At 37.9% G+C, this 17476-nt stretch overlaps 1 long non-coding RNA gene across 1 annotated transcript, besides 1 other annotated feature; it reads left to right on the forward strand.

The window, feature by feature from the left end:
- The first annotated feature begins 776 nt into the window (after window positions 1–776).
- Window positions 777–15278, forward strand: LOC105375905 (uncharacterized). Its single transcript, XR_929058.3, has 2 exons — window positions 777–846; window positions 14912–15278. It is a non-coding gene; the product is annotated as an uncharacterized LOC105375905 (long non-coding RNA).
- Window positions 8689–9266: an enhancer, noted in NCBI's record as "H3K27ac-H3K4me1 hESC enhancer chr8:76042510-76043087 (GRCh37/hg19 assembly coordinates)". NCBI's record gives its function as "activates a minimal SCP1, AML or CMV promoter by ChIP-STARR-seq in primed H9 embryonic stem cells {active_cell/tissue: H9 hESC(primed)}" and the evidence as "EXISTENCE:reporter gene assay evidence [ECO:0000049][PMID:30033119]".
- Window positions 15279–17476: the final 2198 nt, after the last annotated feature.

Consider the following 17476-nt stretch of genomic DNA (forward strand, 5'->3'; position numbering starts at 1 on the left):
ACCTCATTTCTACTAAAAATACAAAAATTAGCTGGGTGTAGTGGCACGCACCTGTGGTACTAGCTACTCGGGCGACTGAGGGAGAAGAATCGCTTGAACCCGGGAGGAGGAGGGTTCGAGTGAGCCGAGATCATACCACTGTACTCCAGCCTGGGTGACAGAGAGAGATTCTGTCTCAAAAAAAAAAAAAAAAATTAAATATGTTAAAGATGTACACTGTGATGCTTTGATATATGTATACATTACAAAATGATTACCACAATCAAGTTAATTAAGATATCCATCACTTCACATAGTTACCTTGTTTATGTGTGTGTGTGTGTGTAGTGTTGAGAATACTTATGAACTACTCTTTCACCAAATTTCAAGTATATGCTACATTATTATTAACAATAGATTTAATAGACTTTAAATCTTTGTTTTTACTTATTTTTTATAAGTAACATTTGAAAGTCAATTATATTCTGTGAGTAGGTTCTAGGGAATTTCCTATATAGTATCTCATTTATTTCTTATAACAATCCTTGCAATTAAGTAGAATAGCTGCCATTTTATAAAAACAGAAGCTAGGTTGATGACAACGTGGATGTGTGTTAGTCAGCAGAGATGACTTAGAAGGAAGTGTCAGAACAGGGGAAAACCACAAGAGTGTGATGCTCCAGAAGAGAGCTACTGTGCAATATGTAGTCTAAGATGTCTCAGAATAATCAGATAAAAATAGACCAATAGCATTTAGCAACACAGAGATCATTGGTGACCAGTGAGAAGATGTTGTCAGTGTGTGTTGGAAACAGAAGTCAGTAAGGAGTGTGCTGAGAAGTGAGGAGAAGAATAAAACTGGATATGGTGAGTAGGTATTTCAGGAAATTTGTCTATAGGAGGGAGAAAACAGACAAGGGATAATAATTGAGGGGAGAGAATTTTTGTATTTTTGTTTGTTTAATGAGTGTGTGATTTTAAGGTAGGAGACAATTGAGAAACTTAAATGCTGATTGGAAGGATTGGGTAAGCAGCAAGAGGTAAAAGATATAAGAAAGAAATTATCTGTAGTTCTTGAGAAGGGAGGAGGGGATGTGATTCAGAGCACAGGTGGAACAGTTTCTCAGAGACACAAAATAAGTAAGTTTGAAGCCAGGACTTGCCCCAGGTTTTCATCCAAAAAAGGACAAATTCACTTTGAGAGCAAGATGAACATTTTTCATTTTTACACTTTCCCTTCTCTTTCCATAGACATGGCCAGTTTAGTGTGTGTGTGTGTGTGTGTGTGTGTGTGTGTTCCTGAGCTAGTTCATCTATTATTCCCCAAGGAGCTCTTTTAAATGAACCAAAAAGTAAATGCAGTATGGATAAATAGGATAAATATGAGGAATATTGTGTTTTTGGCAAGTTAACAGTTCTGCTTGAATAGAGACTAGATATTAAGGTCAGAAATTGAAGGAGGTGATAATTTCTTGAGAAACAGCTCCAAGTCAGTTCTAGTTATAAAGTCCTTATTTTAAGCAGAAAATAATATGAGCAGCAGGAAGTGGGAGATAAGCCAGAAGATCGTCATAAGATTACCCAGAAAGCTTTGACGATTTAAACTAGCCTTAACGTCACTAACTTTCTCTGTCTAAACATAGATAGCGTTAGAAAGTATTACCAGATAAAAAGAGCTTCCAATTTCACTCAGTACTCAGTTATTCGCTCCCAGGTACACACAAGACAGAGAAGTCCCCTGCTCCCAATTAGTGCTTTGGTGCTTTTTATATTATTATGAGAGGACATAAATTACATTTTAAATGCAATAAAATCACCTTCAGTAATGGTTTATGATACCTACAACTAATTTTGTGATCTCAACAATCCATACAATTGCTCTAAACCTTAGATTTCTCTCCACTAAAGTAAGAAATGTATACAATAATCTCTAAGATTCCCTTAGCTTTATACAGTTGAATGTTTCTAAGTTAATAATTAAGTCTTTCCACAGGAAGAGTGACATCTCTAAAACTCAATGCAGAAATCCTCTTATCTAGGTAAGGGTGTTTCTTGTTGAGGGTGGGATGCAATGAAGAGACTGGGGATTAGCTCCCAAAACCAGGAGACAAGAGTTTACACCCCAGACACTCTATGAATACAGAGTACAGTTGAGCTAAGGACAGTAGGCCACAGAGGGAAAGGCTAGCATCTTTTCAAAACAAAGGCTGAAAGCAGATAGAGAAAGCAAAAGTATAAAGAGCCCAGGGGTAAAAAAATCCTAAAGCAATAGGTAAGGAGATTGAATAAGTGGTGAATAGACTGGGCAATATATGGATCCAAATTCTTGCCTTTGCCTGTATTTTATGTGTTTACTGTGGCATTGTATTTGGAGGGGTTCCAATGTTCAATGGGTAGACCTATTTGAACTTCAGGTTCTAAAAGTTCCTCAGATTACAGAGTGTTCAAGAGAGTGACAGTTAATAACCAAAAATAAATATTATATGTATCAGTTCAGAATCTCTTTTAGAGGCAAATAGCAAGCAGAAAGACCAACTCAAATTGACTTTAAATGCGAAATTATTGGCTTAACTAACTGAAAACTCAGGATTAAGACTTAGTTATAGACAGAGCATACATTATTAGAGACTTAAAAAAATGTCATTGTGGGTACTTTTAGCCCTTGCCACCTTCTCCAGTCTGAGAGTTGGGCAGGAATGAGTAATACCCCAAAGAAAAATCAGCTTACTGCCAGTGCAGCAGGGGTTATGGAGCCTCAGAGCAAAACAAGGAACGTCTCCTACATGATGGCGAATATCGGTGTCCGCTCCCCTTCCTTACCTACTCAGGATGTCTTAGCAAATCTCAGTTCAGCCCTAATGGACAGGAAAAAAATTGCCCTCCTCCTTACCATGACTGATGTGCAGTTGTGTCCTTTGGACCCAAGGGTCTTCAGTCATTCAAAAAGAAATTATTCCCATAGAATAGCCATGTAATTAAGAATGCAGGGACACAAAGAACTGGTAGGAGGCTGCTTCTATGCCAAGATTTCAAGGTAATTTCTCACCTGGGTTATAATATAAAGTTCATATGAGACAATATTTATTCCTGTTCCGTGGGCAAGCTGTCCCTGTGAGTTATTTTCTAGACCATAGAGTTAGAGTCAGTTCCCTTCACCACTTTCATAATCCTCATCTTCATGGTTCTTCTTGTTCCTGGATCCAAAACTTTTGAAACCAGGGTGTCACTTATGACAACATTCTCAGGGATGTGACCCACATTTCTAAACTTCAAGATTCATCACTTATTTCCCTGCCTTTTTCCTAGCCTCTCTCCCTGGACGCTTTTATTTTTCAAACAGAAACTTCAAATCACAATTATTTCCATGCCCCCAGAAAACAACAACAAAAAGGACTGATCTTGAAATCCTTTCCAGCAATGCTTTCCGCCCCCCACCTCCACTGAAGGAAAACTACATTATTCTCTCCAATTAAAAGATTTGAAACAAAATAAAAATTTAATGTCAATTAGCCATGCTGTTGCATATGCCCAGATGAGAAAAATAACACAAGTAAATTTCAGACTAATAATTTCTAGGGCTGACATCATGTTACTTAAAATGGTTATGCCCAGTCTTCCTTAGCAATGTTCAACTCACTAGAGAAATGTCAGGGAATAAACCTTGTTCATTCTCTAGCTCGGATGTTAGACTTGAATGTAGGTGATAGTGTTACCAGAGTTCTTTTGTGGTTTTTAAATGAAATATTCAATAAAATGAAAGACTTAGGAAGAACTGGTCATTTTTCTGAGATAACATACATTGGTAACTCATGATGCGTGTGATGTTGGTGAAGAGCTCTATTTATTTTTAGAAATAAACTTTTGAACTGGAAATCTTTTTGCATTCAAGTGAAAATAGATGATCCCATAATTTGCAAGTTGTCTTGAGAGCACAAGTGCCAGAAAGGCAGAGGAGGAACAATGGAAAGGATTTCATGTGCTAAGTGAAATAGTCTATTGCTGCCTGTCATTCCATTCCTTCAAGTCATTCTTTATCTACATGCCCTTGTCCTGCCTTCTAGACTCACACTTGCCAAATGTCTTAGGGCTGTCAGGGAAGATTTACTGGAAATAAAACAACTGCAATAAAAGAAGGGAAGGAGGCCCAGCTTGGCAGTTCACTTACATGTGATGTTCAGATTTGGGCAAAGAGAATGTGAAATGGTTTATGACACTCCAATGTCCAATACTTCTGTCACTGTAAAAATAATCTTTTTCTTTGCCTAAGAATACAGAAAGTGTTAAAGGGAGAGAAATAAGCTTTTTAAAGTACTTGTTTGTATCAGACATTAACTAGCATATGTTTTTTCATATTTGCAAAGCATATATTTGATGAAGGACTTGTATTCAGAATATAAAGAATATATAAAGAATAGCTTAATAACAACCCATTGAAACATAGGTGTAATGTGTGAGTGGACACTTCACTGAATCAGTTATATGCACGGCCAATAAACACACATAACAACCTCAATATCATTAGTCATCAGGGAAATGCAAATTAGACCACCAAGAAATAGTACTACATACCTACTAGAATGATTGAAATTAAAAACTCGGACAACAAACGTCAGCAGAAATGTAGAGAAACCAGAACTTTCATACCTTGCTGGTGAGAATATGAAATGATACAATCCTTTTGCTAAACTGTTTGCCTTATTTATTTAGATTTTTAAAATTGATGTATTATAGCTGTATATGTTTTTGGAGTACATGTGACATTTTGATACATGTATGCAAAGTGTAATAATCAAATTGGGGTAATAGGTATGTCCATCACCCCAAACATTTCTCTTTCTCTTGTGTTGAGAACATTACAATTATTCTCTTATAGCTATTTGAAATATACAATAAATTATTTTTAACAAGGATACTTTACCTGTGTTTCTTCGCTTTACCCTCAAAGAAGTTAAATGCTACATACAACCTTACATCACTACGTAATTTTGTAACAGTTAACAAAGTGCTGCTGAAACATATTATTTCTCACAATAATGCCTTTCTGGGAGGCATTATTCCTATTATTTTAGTGAAGAAGAAACTGAGCCAATTTATTAACAAGGGTAATTTTGGATGATTTTGGACACTGATGCTAACATAGTCTTTCTTTTCTTCTTAATTCTTTTCTTCTTAATTCCACATCCTTACAGTAGTGGAGAAGAATAAATGAGATATTACAGGTGAACTATTTGTTTGTACAGTGGCTGCACATAGTATGCACTCAAGAAAAGTTCACCCTGATTTTTCAGTGAGGGTTAATGGTTTGCTCAATACCATAAAGCCAGAATGCAGTAGGATTTAGACTCAAAGCAATTCTTCCAACTCCAAGCTCTTTCTGCTATGCTCTGTCTCCTGAACAAAAAGACCAACGCATAGAAAAATTCCATTGTTCTAATCTTCCAGAGTGTGCACAGAGATGTACCCATGCACACATCACTACCTACCACCTCTTTCCTGGGCCATCATACTTTTCAGTCCTATTTTTTTCATGCACTTGTTTAGATACCTCTTACAGTAGGCAGAATAATAGACCCTAAAGTTGTCTACATCCTAATCCCTGTTACTTTACATGGCAAAAAGGACCTTATGATAAGATTAAGGATCCTGAGATTGGGGTTTTTTACTGGATTATCCAGAGGGACCAGAGGGATCTAATATAATTACAAGAGTCTTCATAAGAGGGAGGCAGGAGTGTCAACCTAGAGAGGAGAGATAACAAAGGAAATGAAGGTTGGATTGATGGGACCATGAACCAAGGAATGCAGACATCCTCTAGAAACTGATAAAGGGCAAAAAAGAAGATTCTTTCCTAGAGTTTTCAGAAGGAACACAGCCCTGCCAACACTGAATTTCAGCCCAGTAAAACCAATTTCAGGCTTTGAACCTCCAGGACTGTAATATAATACATTTGTATTGCTCTAAGCCACTAAGTTTGTGGTAATTTGTTACAGCAGAAAAGGAAAACTAATACATCTCCTTTCTTTTCTTTTTCCTCCTTTACCATGCTCCTCCATACTAATCTACTCAAATATCTTGGTGTTGAGGGTAAGGTAATTATTTTCATTTGTAATAGCAAATTTAATATTTAATCTTTACGTGGCAGTGACACAGATGCCAGCAGACTGGGTGTCCCTAGAATCTCAGACCTTCTGGAATTATCTTTTCTTCTAATATTTGAAATAAACTGCCTAGAGAATACAATCCTGGTCATTTGGGAAATAAAGCATTCCTTTTAATATTTTTGTGGATTATAGAGGGATTTTTTTATATTTATTACCTTTGATTTAAATACTTGTTTTTTGGTAAATTATTAGCTTTCTCTCTAAAATTTCATTTTCTGCAGCTACAGTTATTTTCTATTTGCACCATGTCAAACTAAGTGTGAGGCATAGACCTCCATTTATCCCCACTCACTATCTATTTAGTTTATGCAGAAAGTAAATTAGTAATAACATGAGGTACTGTACCTAGCAGAACTTTCCCCCAAAGTTGGAGTAAACAGAGTGGGTTGATGTTAGAAGCCAGTGATGCAGTAAATATTTAATATGATCTTGCTGATTTTAAATATCTTTGCTTGTTTCCAGCCTTGCGGATTTCTTATGGGTCTCTGCTTCCGTACTCCATGTTAATGAACCCTGTGTCTCTCCCTAGATTTCCTCCTCTTTTACCTACTCTCCAACTGTACATTAAAAATTGTGTTTCTCATCTAAAATTTGTTAAAGCTCTACAAGCCTCCAGGGAAACCAACCGGGTATAAAATTCACTAAGCAAAAAGAGTATCAGTTTGGAGAAGTATCTAAAAAGAGAATTAGGGAAGGGTTTTTATAGGGCTTTGAGGATTGAGATTTTAGTCATCAGGTAGCATCAGGCAAAAGTTAGGGAAAGAAGAAAGATCTTGTAAACTAGGAAATTTGCTGGAATAGCTAGTGGTCTTATTTTTTGGGACATACGTGTCTTTATAAAGTTACTTTTAAATCAGTTAGTCTTTGTTCTTATATTGGAATGCAAGGGTCTGAACTAGCTGGTATTAAAGCGTTTTAAGATTTTTTTTCTCTACTCCAAAGTATTTCAAGTTTTCAAAACATTTTGAAAATATACTCAATTTGTACATCCAAAAACTCTTTTAGGGGCTTTCCAAAACAGAGCATCCTTTGTTTCTCCACATTTTTTCAGCATAAAGTATTCCCAGAGGCATTACAATTATAACCTTTCCTTCAAAATAATTCAATTCTTAGAAATGGTTGCCTTCTCTAGGCTCTCTGGGACAAATAAAGTATGCCATTCTGGTAGAAGGCAGAATCAGAAGAGTAAGATTCTGAAAACCACATGCTTTTCTTCTTGGGATAAAGTGGGCTCTATTCTTTTTATTATTCTCAGTTTTCAGATGCATTAAATGATGACAGATGATAAGTAACTTGCCTAAGGTGCGGCATGGAGGTGTAATATGTCTAAGTTGTGCTGCTGCTACGATTCAATTTATTGAGAACTTCCTATGAAAAGGCACACAACGTAGGAGACACTATGCAGGCTCAATGTCCCAATGAGACATTGCCCTAAGATTTGGAACGTTTTACAGATGCTAAGATTTATGTCTATATGTTCATTGTCTTTCTCCGTAACTGCTTTCATTTCTATTCTTAGAAAAAAATTATTGTCTCTTCCTACTGTATACTATCTACATTCTGACATTATGTTTGTGTATATGTGTGTGTGTGAGAGAGGAGAGATACAGAGACAGAGAGACTTTAGTATCTGAGAGAGATATAATTTTTGTTTTGTCCATGTCTTCCTGATATGGTTAGGTTAGTGTCCCTGCCCAAATCTCATTTTGAATTGTAATCCCCACATGTCAAGGGAGGAAGCTGGAGGGAGGTGATTGGATCATGGGGGTGGTTTCCCCCATGCTGTTCTAGTGACAGTGAGGGAGTTCTCATGAGATCTGGTGGTTTCAAAAGTGGCAGTTTCCCCTGTGGGCACTCTCTCTCTCCTGCCACCATGTAAGACATGTCTTGTTTCCCTTCACCTTCTGCCATTCTTGTAAGTTTCCTGAGGCCTCCCCAGCCATACAGAACTTTGAGTCAATTAAACTTTTCATTATAAGTTACCCAGTCTCAGGTAGTATCTTTTCAGCATTGTGTAAATGAACTGATACAGAAAATTGGTACTGCAGAGAGTAGGACACTGCTATAAAGATACCTCAGAATGTGAAAGCAACTTTGGAACTGGGTAGCGTGCAGAAGTTGCAACAGTTTGGAAGACTCAGAAGAAGACAGGAAGATGTGGGAAAGTTTGGTACTTCCTAGAGATTTGTTAAATGCTTTTGACCAAAATGCTGATAGGAATATGGACAATGAAGTCCAGGTTGAGGTGGTCTCAGATGGAGATGAGGAACTTCTTGGGAACTGGAGCAAAAGCCACTCTTGCTATGCTTTAGCAAAGAGACTGGTGGCATTGTGCCCCTGCCATAGAGATATGTGGAACTTTGAAACTGAGAGAGATTATTTAGAGTATCTGGCAGAAGAAATTTCTAAGCAGCAAAGCATTCAAGAGGTGACTTGGCTTTTCCTGAAAGTATATAGTTATATGCACTCACAAAGAGATGATTTGAAATTGGAACTTATGTTCAAAAGGAAAGCAGAGCATAAAAGTTTGGAAAACTTGAAGCCTGATTATGTGGTAGAAAAGAAAAACCCATTTTCTGGGAGAAATTCAAACCTGCTGCAGAAATTTGCATAAGTAAGGAGGAGTCAAATGTTAATAGCCAATACAATGGGAAAAATGTCTCCAGGGCATGTGATATGATTTGGCTGTGTCCCCATCCAAATCTCATCTTGAATTCCCACATGGGAGGGACCCGGTGGGAGGTAATTGAATCATGGGGAAAGATCTTTCCCCATGTGGAAAGACCAGCCATGTGGAGCTGTAAGTCCATTAAACCTCTTTCTTTTGTAAATTGCCTGGTCTTGGGTATGTCTTTATCAGCAGCATGAAAAAGGACTAAGAAGGCATGTCAGAAATCTTCACTGCAGCCCCTCCCATCACAGGTCTGGAAGCCTGGGTGGGAAAAATAGTTTCGTGGGCCAGGCCCACACAGCCTCAGGACTTGATGCCCTGCATCTGAGCTGCTCCAACTCCAGCCATGGCTGAAAGGGGCCAAGGTACAGCTTGAGGCATGGCTTCAGAGGGTGCAAGCCCCAAGCCTTGGCTTCCACATGGCGTTGAGCCTGTGGGTGCTCAGAAGACAAGAGTTGAGCTTTGGGAGCCTCTGCCTAGATTTCAGAGGATGTATGGAAATGCCTGGATCTCCAGGCAGAAGTCTACTGAATTGAGACCCTCTACTAGGGCAGTTTAGAGGGGACATGTGGGGTTGGAGCCCCCACAGAGTCCCCACTGGGGCACCACCTAGTGGAACTGTGGGAAAGAGGGCCACTGTCCTCCAGACCCCAGAATGGTAGATCCACCAGCAGCTTGTACCATGCACCTGGAAGAGCCACAGGCACTCAATGTCAGCCCATGAAAGCAGTTGTATCCTGCAGAGCCACAGGGGCAGAGCTGCTTACAACCTTGGGAGCCAAACTCTTGCATCAGCATGCCTGGGATGTGAGACATGGTGTCAAAGGAGACTGTTTTGGAGCTTAAAGATTTATCATGACTGCCCTGCTGGGTGTTAGTTTAGCATGGGGCTTGTGGCCCCTTTGTTTTGACCAATTTCTCTCATTTGGAACAGGAACATTTACCCAATGCCTGTACCCCCATCTTGGAAGCAACTAACTTGTTTTGATTGTATAGGCTCATAGGTAAAAGAGACTTACCTTGTCTCAGATAAGACTTTGGATTTGGACTTTTGGGTTCATGCTGGAATGAGTTAAGACTCTGGGAGACTGTGGGAAGGCATGATTGGTTTTGAATTGTGAAAAGGACATGAGATTTGGGAGGGTTGGGGCAGAATTATATGGTGTGGCTCTGTGTCCTCACTCAAATCTCATCTCAAATTGTAATCTTTACATGTTGAGGGAGGTACCTGGTGGGAGATGATTGGATCATGGGTGCTGTTTCCCCCGGGCTGTTTTTGTGACAGTGAGGGAGTTCTCACGAGATCTGATGGTTTTAAAAGTTGCAGTTTCCCCTGTGCTCTCTCTTTCCCGTTGTCATGTAAGACGTGCCTTGCTTCCCTTAGCTTTCTGCCATGATTGTAAGTTTCCTGAGGCCTCCCCAGCCATGCAGAACTGTGCCAATTAAGCCTCTTTCCTTTATAGATTACCCAGCCTCAGGTATTCTTTACAGCAGTGTGAAAATGAACTAATCCACTTCCTAATGGAGGATCTTTTTAATATTAATCGCCACTCATAGAATCATTTCAGCCAACTTGGGATGAAGGTAGAAGTGAAGGGTACATAGCACAGGAATCCTGTCCTGCTAAAGTTACATAGTTAAATTTACCAATTAGAAACACTCTAAGAGGTGTGAATATTTAATAATCATTTTACAAATAAAGACACAGTTACAAGAGAACAATTAATTTATAGAGGTAGTACAGGTAGAAATTAAATTTTTAATGGTGTCCAGTTAGGCTACATGAACTGTCTCAAGTTAGTACACTGAGGTTGCCTTTTGAGTCAACTCAGATCAGCCTGAATTTGAAAACTTGGCTATGGTCATTATCCCCTGCCTTTTCTTTGTTTTTTAAGAGTTTATTTAATTCTTACCACTGGGCTTATTGGAATCCAAGAGTTTTAGAATCCCTTTTCTCTATAATGTTTAGTAATGACACACTAACCTAGCAATTATGTGAAAAAAAAGCATCAGAAACCCCATATTAGTGGAAGTAAACATTTAGAAAAATTTATATATGTCTTCTAGTTTTGTTTTAGGTCAAACTCTGTTCTCCTACCTACTTTGTTTCCTGGATTGGAATACCCGGTATTATCTGTTGTCATTCCTTCAATTTCTCTGGAAAGTCACATATGTCCAAATATTTGGGGAAGGTAATGAGAGTCCTGGAGTGTCCAAATCTATAGACCACAGAAAGAGGAGAAAGTGCTCTCATTTCACCAACAGCATGAATCAGTTCCTGGGTTATAGCAGATACTCAAATGCTTACTGAAACTTAAAATGAATCAGTATTTAAATCAATATATAAAATCCATCTTTATTTTAAAAGAATCTGTTAATACTTTTCAAATTGAATGAAAGCCTGCTGTGTTTACTTATGCTGCAAGGTGGCTTTGCTTGTTTGAAAACTCAGGAAGATAATATTGTTTCTGAAGTTAAAATTCAGTCACACATGGGATGGAATTTACCATGTAAATTATGTAGGCCATGTAAACATTGTTTCTGGCTTTCAGAAACTATTGAGCAGTTTACCATTTCCAAATGGAAATAAAGCCAAGCAAATGGAAACTAGGAAAGAGGATTATAAAAAACGCACTGTTCCCTTCAGTTGGCTTCTCTTTCTGCTTACTCATTACAGTCATTATATTTACAAAACAATTAAAGCACAGAAAACTATCATCAGGAAACTTCCTAGACACTCTTATAATTGTTCATTGAATCCAGGAGATGTTGATTATTACCATCGTTACCTAACAGGCAAGGCAACCTGAAGTTTACATACATTTTTAAAAAGAAGAGAATATTTTACTGAATAAATAAAAAATAAATTATTTTCTAGTAAACAGTTTAGCATGTCACTGGTAAGTGAACTAACATGTTCTACCTATTTTAAAACAATCAGTACACATAGCTTATTTCTATTGCCTTAGTCCTATGTTTTTCCATTTCATCATGAGAAATCACATATTAAAACAAGTTTCAGGACTCTACCCCTCAAGATTCTGATTCTGTAAATCTGGGTTTGGGTCCAAACATTTACATTCTGCTCTTCTAAAAATTTTCCCCTTGTGCTTCTGATGCTGCTGGTCTGTGGACCACATTTGCAGAACCACAGTCTCAAACTACCGAAAAAATTCAGGAAATAAATCATCATTTAAAAATAAATATTTAGTATTTGTTGGAGAAATACACTGCTTCAACATTTTCAAACAGATAATTTATTTCTCATGAAGAGTATGTATCCAGGCAAAACATGGGAGATTTTCTACACTTCCTCAAATTTATACCAAAAATTCTTCAGTATAAGAGGACTTTTTTATTATTATTATTATACTGTAAGTTTTAGGGTACATGTGCACAATATGCAGGTTAGTTACATATGTATACATGTGCCATGCTGGTGCGCTGCACCCACTAACTTGTCATCTAGCATTAGGTATATCTCCCAATGCTATCCCTCCCCCCTCCCCCCACCCCACAACAGTCCCCAGAGTGTGATGTTCCCCTTCCTGTGTCCATGCGTTCTCATTGTTCAATTCCCACCTATGAGTGAGAATATGCGGTGTTTGGTTTTTTGTTCTTGCGATAGTTTACTGAAAATGATGATTTCCAATTTCATTCATGTCCCTACAAAGGACATGAACTCATCATTTTTATGGCTGCATAGTATTCCATGGTGTATATGTGCCACATTTTCTTAATCCAGTCTATCATTGTTGGACATTTGGGTTGGTTCCAAGTCTTTGCTATTGTGAATAATGCCGCAATAAACATACGTGTGCATGTGTCTTTATAGCAGCATGATTTATAGTCCTTTGGGTATATACCCAGTAATGGGATGGCTGGGTCAAATGGTATTTCTAGTTCTAGATCCCTGAGGAATCGCCACACTGACTTCCACAATGGTTGAACTAGTTTACAGTCCCACCAACAGTGTAAAAGTGTTCCTATTTCTCCACATCCTCTCCAGCACCCCAGAGAAACAATTAAGGGAAATAAGGTCTTCAGATACATGTAGGATATCATATAGATTTTATACCATATAAATATCATATAGGTTTTATACCATACACTACTTATTTACATTGCACAAAAAGCCGCCTGAGTAAAGCAGTTTGTATGTATTAGGAGCATTCCTGAGATAAATTTTAGCAGCACATACGATGAACCAAACTTACGGCTGTCAATCCCATGATTATATTGTAAATAAAGATAAAGATCTCTAAATAGGGTGTTTACAATATAACACAAGTTCTAAAGGGAATCAGTTTTGTGTTGTTCCACAAGCAGAACTAAGATTAATAAACAGAAATTAAGAGAGTAGAATTTGGGCACCCATGAGGGTTTTTGAACTGGGTAACATTATGCAACAGGAGTTTCATGTCAATGGAAACATTCAGTTAACATCTGAATGGCTGGCCACCTTGCAGAAAAATTGTCAAGGGGATTCTTACAGTAGATTTCTTACTTTCAAATCTAAAAGTCTGTGATTTTTATAATGAATACAAAAATTTAAAAATATAGTTGAGGAGTTTAGAGACTAAAGAAATACAAATGAAGCATGAATACACTTACATTCCATTTATAAGAAATATTTAGACATCTAAATTTTGTATATGGTGGAGAGTATTGACCCCTCCTCAATCTGTTTCCTTCATTTTCCTGGGAAAATGGTTTCTTGGCAAAACTATATTTCTCAGCTTCCTTTGTAACTAGGCACAGTTAAGTGTGGCTGTGAGCCTCAGTTCTAACCAACAGAATATTTGAAAGTAATGTATACAGGGTCCACTTCATTTAATGAAAAGACCTTTGCAGAGTACTGGCTCTCTCTCTTTCCTTCCTAATGGCTGAAGAGTTTGACATATGAAATATCCATTGAAACTTTGTGTTTAAAGTGGCAGGGTTAACCCTTCCACTGGATTTTTTGGATTAATTTTTGGGGTCAGAACCCTCCTATCGTCCTTCCACTGAGAAATAAATGAACTAACTTTGAAAATTAACTTATGGATCTTTGTGTTACTGCAACACTTCCCTATGTCTAATGCACTGCAAATTAAGAATTTTCAGGAATCATTTTTGGTTTAAATACAGGGAAAAAAAAAACTGGTTAGCTGGCCTAACGACATAACAATTATTTGTAGAACTGTTTAAATAGAAAGGACACTAGTTATTTACGTTGCACAAAAAGCCGCCCGAGTAAAGCAGTTTGTATGTATTAGGAGCATTCCTGAGATAAATTTTAGCAGCACATAGGATGAACCAAACTTATGGCTGTCAATCCCGTGATTATATTGTAAATAAAGATAAAGTTCTCTAAATAGGGTGTTTACAATATGACGCAAGTTCTAAAAAGATGATACATTAGACTTCTTATTCATATATTGGGTGGTATAAAATAGGTCTACATTTTACCATTCTAAATATACAAGGTAATTATTCAGTAGAATTACTTATCATAAAACATAGCAATTAAATAATTTAATTATACAATTAATAATTTATAAAACATGTTTCAGTGGGTGTTAACACAGAATCACCTCACTATATCATCATTATCTCTAAAGATAATAGTTTTTTTTTTTTTTTTGAGACGGAGTCTCACACTCTGTCCCCCAGGCTGGAGTGCAGTGGCACAATCTCGGCTAACTGCAAGCTCTGCCTCCCAGGTTCATGCCATTCTCCTGCCTCAGCCTCCCGAGGAGCTGGGACTACAGGCGCCCACCATCATGCCCCGCTAATTTTTTGTATTTTCAGTAGAGACGGGGTTTCACCATGTTAGCCAGGATGGTCTCCATCTCCTGACCTCGTGATCCGCCCGCCTCGGCCTCCCAAAATGCTGGGATTACAGGCGTGAGCCACCGCGTCCGGCCGATAGTAGTTTTTATATCATTTTACATAAGAGGAATCTGAGACTCAGACTAGTGTCTCTGAAGCCACACAGTCAGTTAGTAATAAGGCCATAGATTTCACCTTCATGTGTGGATAATTCAGTTTTGTTTAGACCCCCACGAATCACGCCGCCCGAGTTAACTTAGTTGTTTTTGGTGCTCAATTATTATAGTGATGACGCCCAATGGATACCTGCACTTGTGAAGTCCCTGTCTCATCGATCTAAGCGAAGCTATATGTGACTTGCTTTGGCCAGTGGCCATTACCAGATGAGATGCCCGCGTACACAGGAAAAGCCCTTTTGAATTGGGGCTTGGACATTCTTGCTCTTGATAACACTGCTGCCATGTAGAAGCCTGGGTTAGCCCATCTGAGGACACGACCATGAAGAGCAGACATGAGCCTTCCTAGCTGAGGCCACAAGCTGACACACCAGCTGATTACAGCCACATGAGTGAACTCAGGCAAGTCAACAAGTGAACTGACAAGGCGGGCTTAGCTGGAATCATAGGCAAATAAATGATTGGTCTTTTAAATCACCAAGTTTTACGGTGGCTTAATTAACTGCAATAAATAGATACAGCTTGCAATCCAGGGCAATTACGGTATGTCTTCAAATGCATTTCTGTAATTGACCTAGTTTTCCAAGACTTCAGGATATAGTCATCTATAAATACAATTACAATCTCATTCTTTGTAGCACTCCCGTATTCCCTCCAAAGGTCTATTCAACACATTGTAAACTTCATGATTTGCTTTGCTCTTATTTTATTTTAACTGTTTCAGGAAACTATGTGTGAACTTAGTATAATAGCTACAAGAGAGTTCATACAGGCCTTAAAATTACTTAATTTATTGAGCTGTATATTTTTAATATGTATTCTTTTCTTCATGTATATTTTTACTTTATATTTAAAAAAAATGTTTACCTAGATGGTAGCCAGAACGACAAGAAAATTTAGAACAGCATTTTCTAAACCAGAGGTTGGCCACCTTTTAAGAGATATGTGTCATGGTTTTAGCAACCAAACTGCTTCTTGACTTTTAATGACAGAGGGTAAAGAATATATGACTATGTTGTGACCATCAATTCTCCTGACAGCAGGAGCTGCCACAGAAGGTATAAAGGAAATTGTGTAGGAGGTACGAAATATTACCCCCACACTCCCCTGGCATGCTGACTTTGGCACATACATCATAGGACCTTGGTTACTGCACGGAATCCTCAAATATAAGTGGAGTTGTGGGAAATTGTGTGTTGAAAAGCACAGGCCAGCATGGTTTTAATTTAATGTCTTTTTTTTAAAAGAAAATTACATGCTACATAACAGTCATGAAAAGGTTTAGTGGGGTATGGGGTTTGTTTTGGGAACCCAGATCCTGATAACTTTTACTTGGAATGCTCTTCTAGGCCTGCCCATGTATAGTAACAAGGTAGAGAGTTTGGATAGTATATTTTCCTTTAAAGTCAAAGAAGGTCAGTGTCTACTCATGTTCTATCTCTGCCATGGTGTGCATGCCCTAGTGATATCTGAGTCTATTCACAGAGTGTACTCACAATAGCATGTTATTTGATAAATCAATAAATGTAAGAATGAGTGAATAAATGAAATGTAGCAGGACCAAATTCTTTTTCTTTGATTTTCTTTCTCTGTAATTGTTTTCTATTTCATTCCAGTTTATAGTAGATGTGTGGTTTAAGTGAGCACTGACTTATAAAAACAGATCATGTTATTTGAGTGAAACTTTCCGCAAAATTATAGTAACTGGAATTTGAATAGTAAAATTTGCAGAGTGCAATGTTCAGTTGCATATATTGCAACAAACATATGCATTTGTGTTACTATTGTTATGAATAATAATTGTTATTATTATTATGTTTCTACAGATGAGGAAACAAATTCAGAAAGTTAAATGACTTGTCAAATTCTCATTGCTAGTAAGTGAAAGAAGTGATACTCAAATTCAGGCTTTCTGGTCCAAGAGTATAGCTGGGTTTTTTATGCTATCTTTGTGTGATGCATGTCTCAGTGAGCTGCCCAGTTCAATGCCTATCTCCTCCCAGAACTAAACCCTCATTTCCCCAGCTGCTGGGAGTGTTGATGGCTGACAGTTCTCAGCTGAGTCAGCAAGTCCTCTTTGGGATTTACCCTAGCCCAAAACGAGCCCAGCCCAGTCCACACTCGCACAATTTGAAAGGATGTCAGTACACCTCTAATTATTTGCTGATGCAAGGGCATAAGAGCCTGTCCACTCACTCCAATTTTGGACAACTCTAAAGGACTACCCTAGCTGTAGAGCTTCCCAGGTATGATCAGCTGATGCCTTGGTTGCAAATGCATCACAGTTCAACTTCACTCACTGCCTCATCCAGGTGTTGATTCCAAGAGCACCTGCCAATGAAGTAACTGTGTACATCTCTGTTTTAGAGTCTGCTTTCTGGGGTATCCAACATGTGAATCTTCACTGCAATGTTGTCTCCTTTATTAATGCATTTTATGCTTCTTTAGAACTGTATTCATTCAATCAACACAAATTGAGTTCTCATGTATCAGTCAAAAATAAATTGTAAGTAGCAAACCACTCTATTTTTAGCAAAAATGGATTTAATACAAAGAATTGGGTCCTTCTACATCTTTGGAATGGTTGGACTCCCATGACTGAGTGTCATTTTTGCCTAAGCAAGAAGATGGAGAGTGAAACAGACTTTCTTAAATTAATGACTGGTTATATTTCA

Source organism: Homo sapiens, chromosome 8 (assembly GCF_000001405.40).
Source record: "Homo sapiens chromosome 8, GRCh38.p14 Primary Assembly".
NCBI lineage: Eukaryota > Metazoa > Chordata > Mammalia > Primates > Hominidae > Homo > Homo sapiens.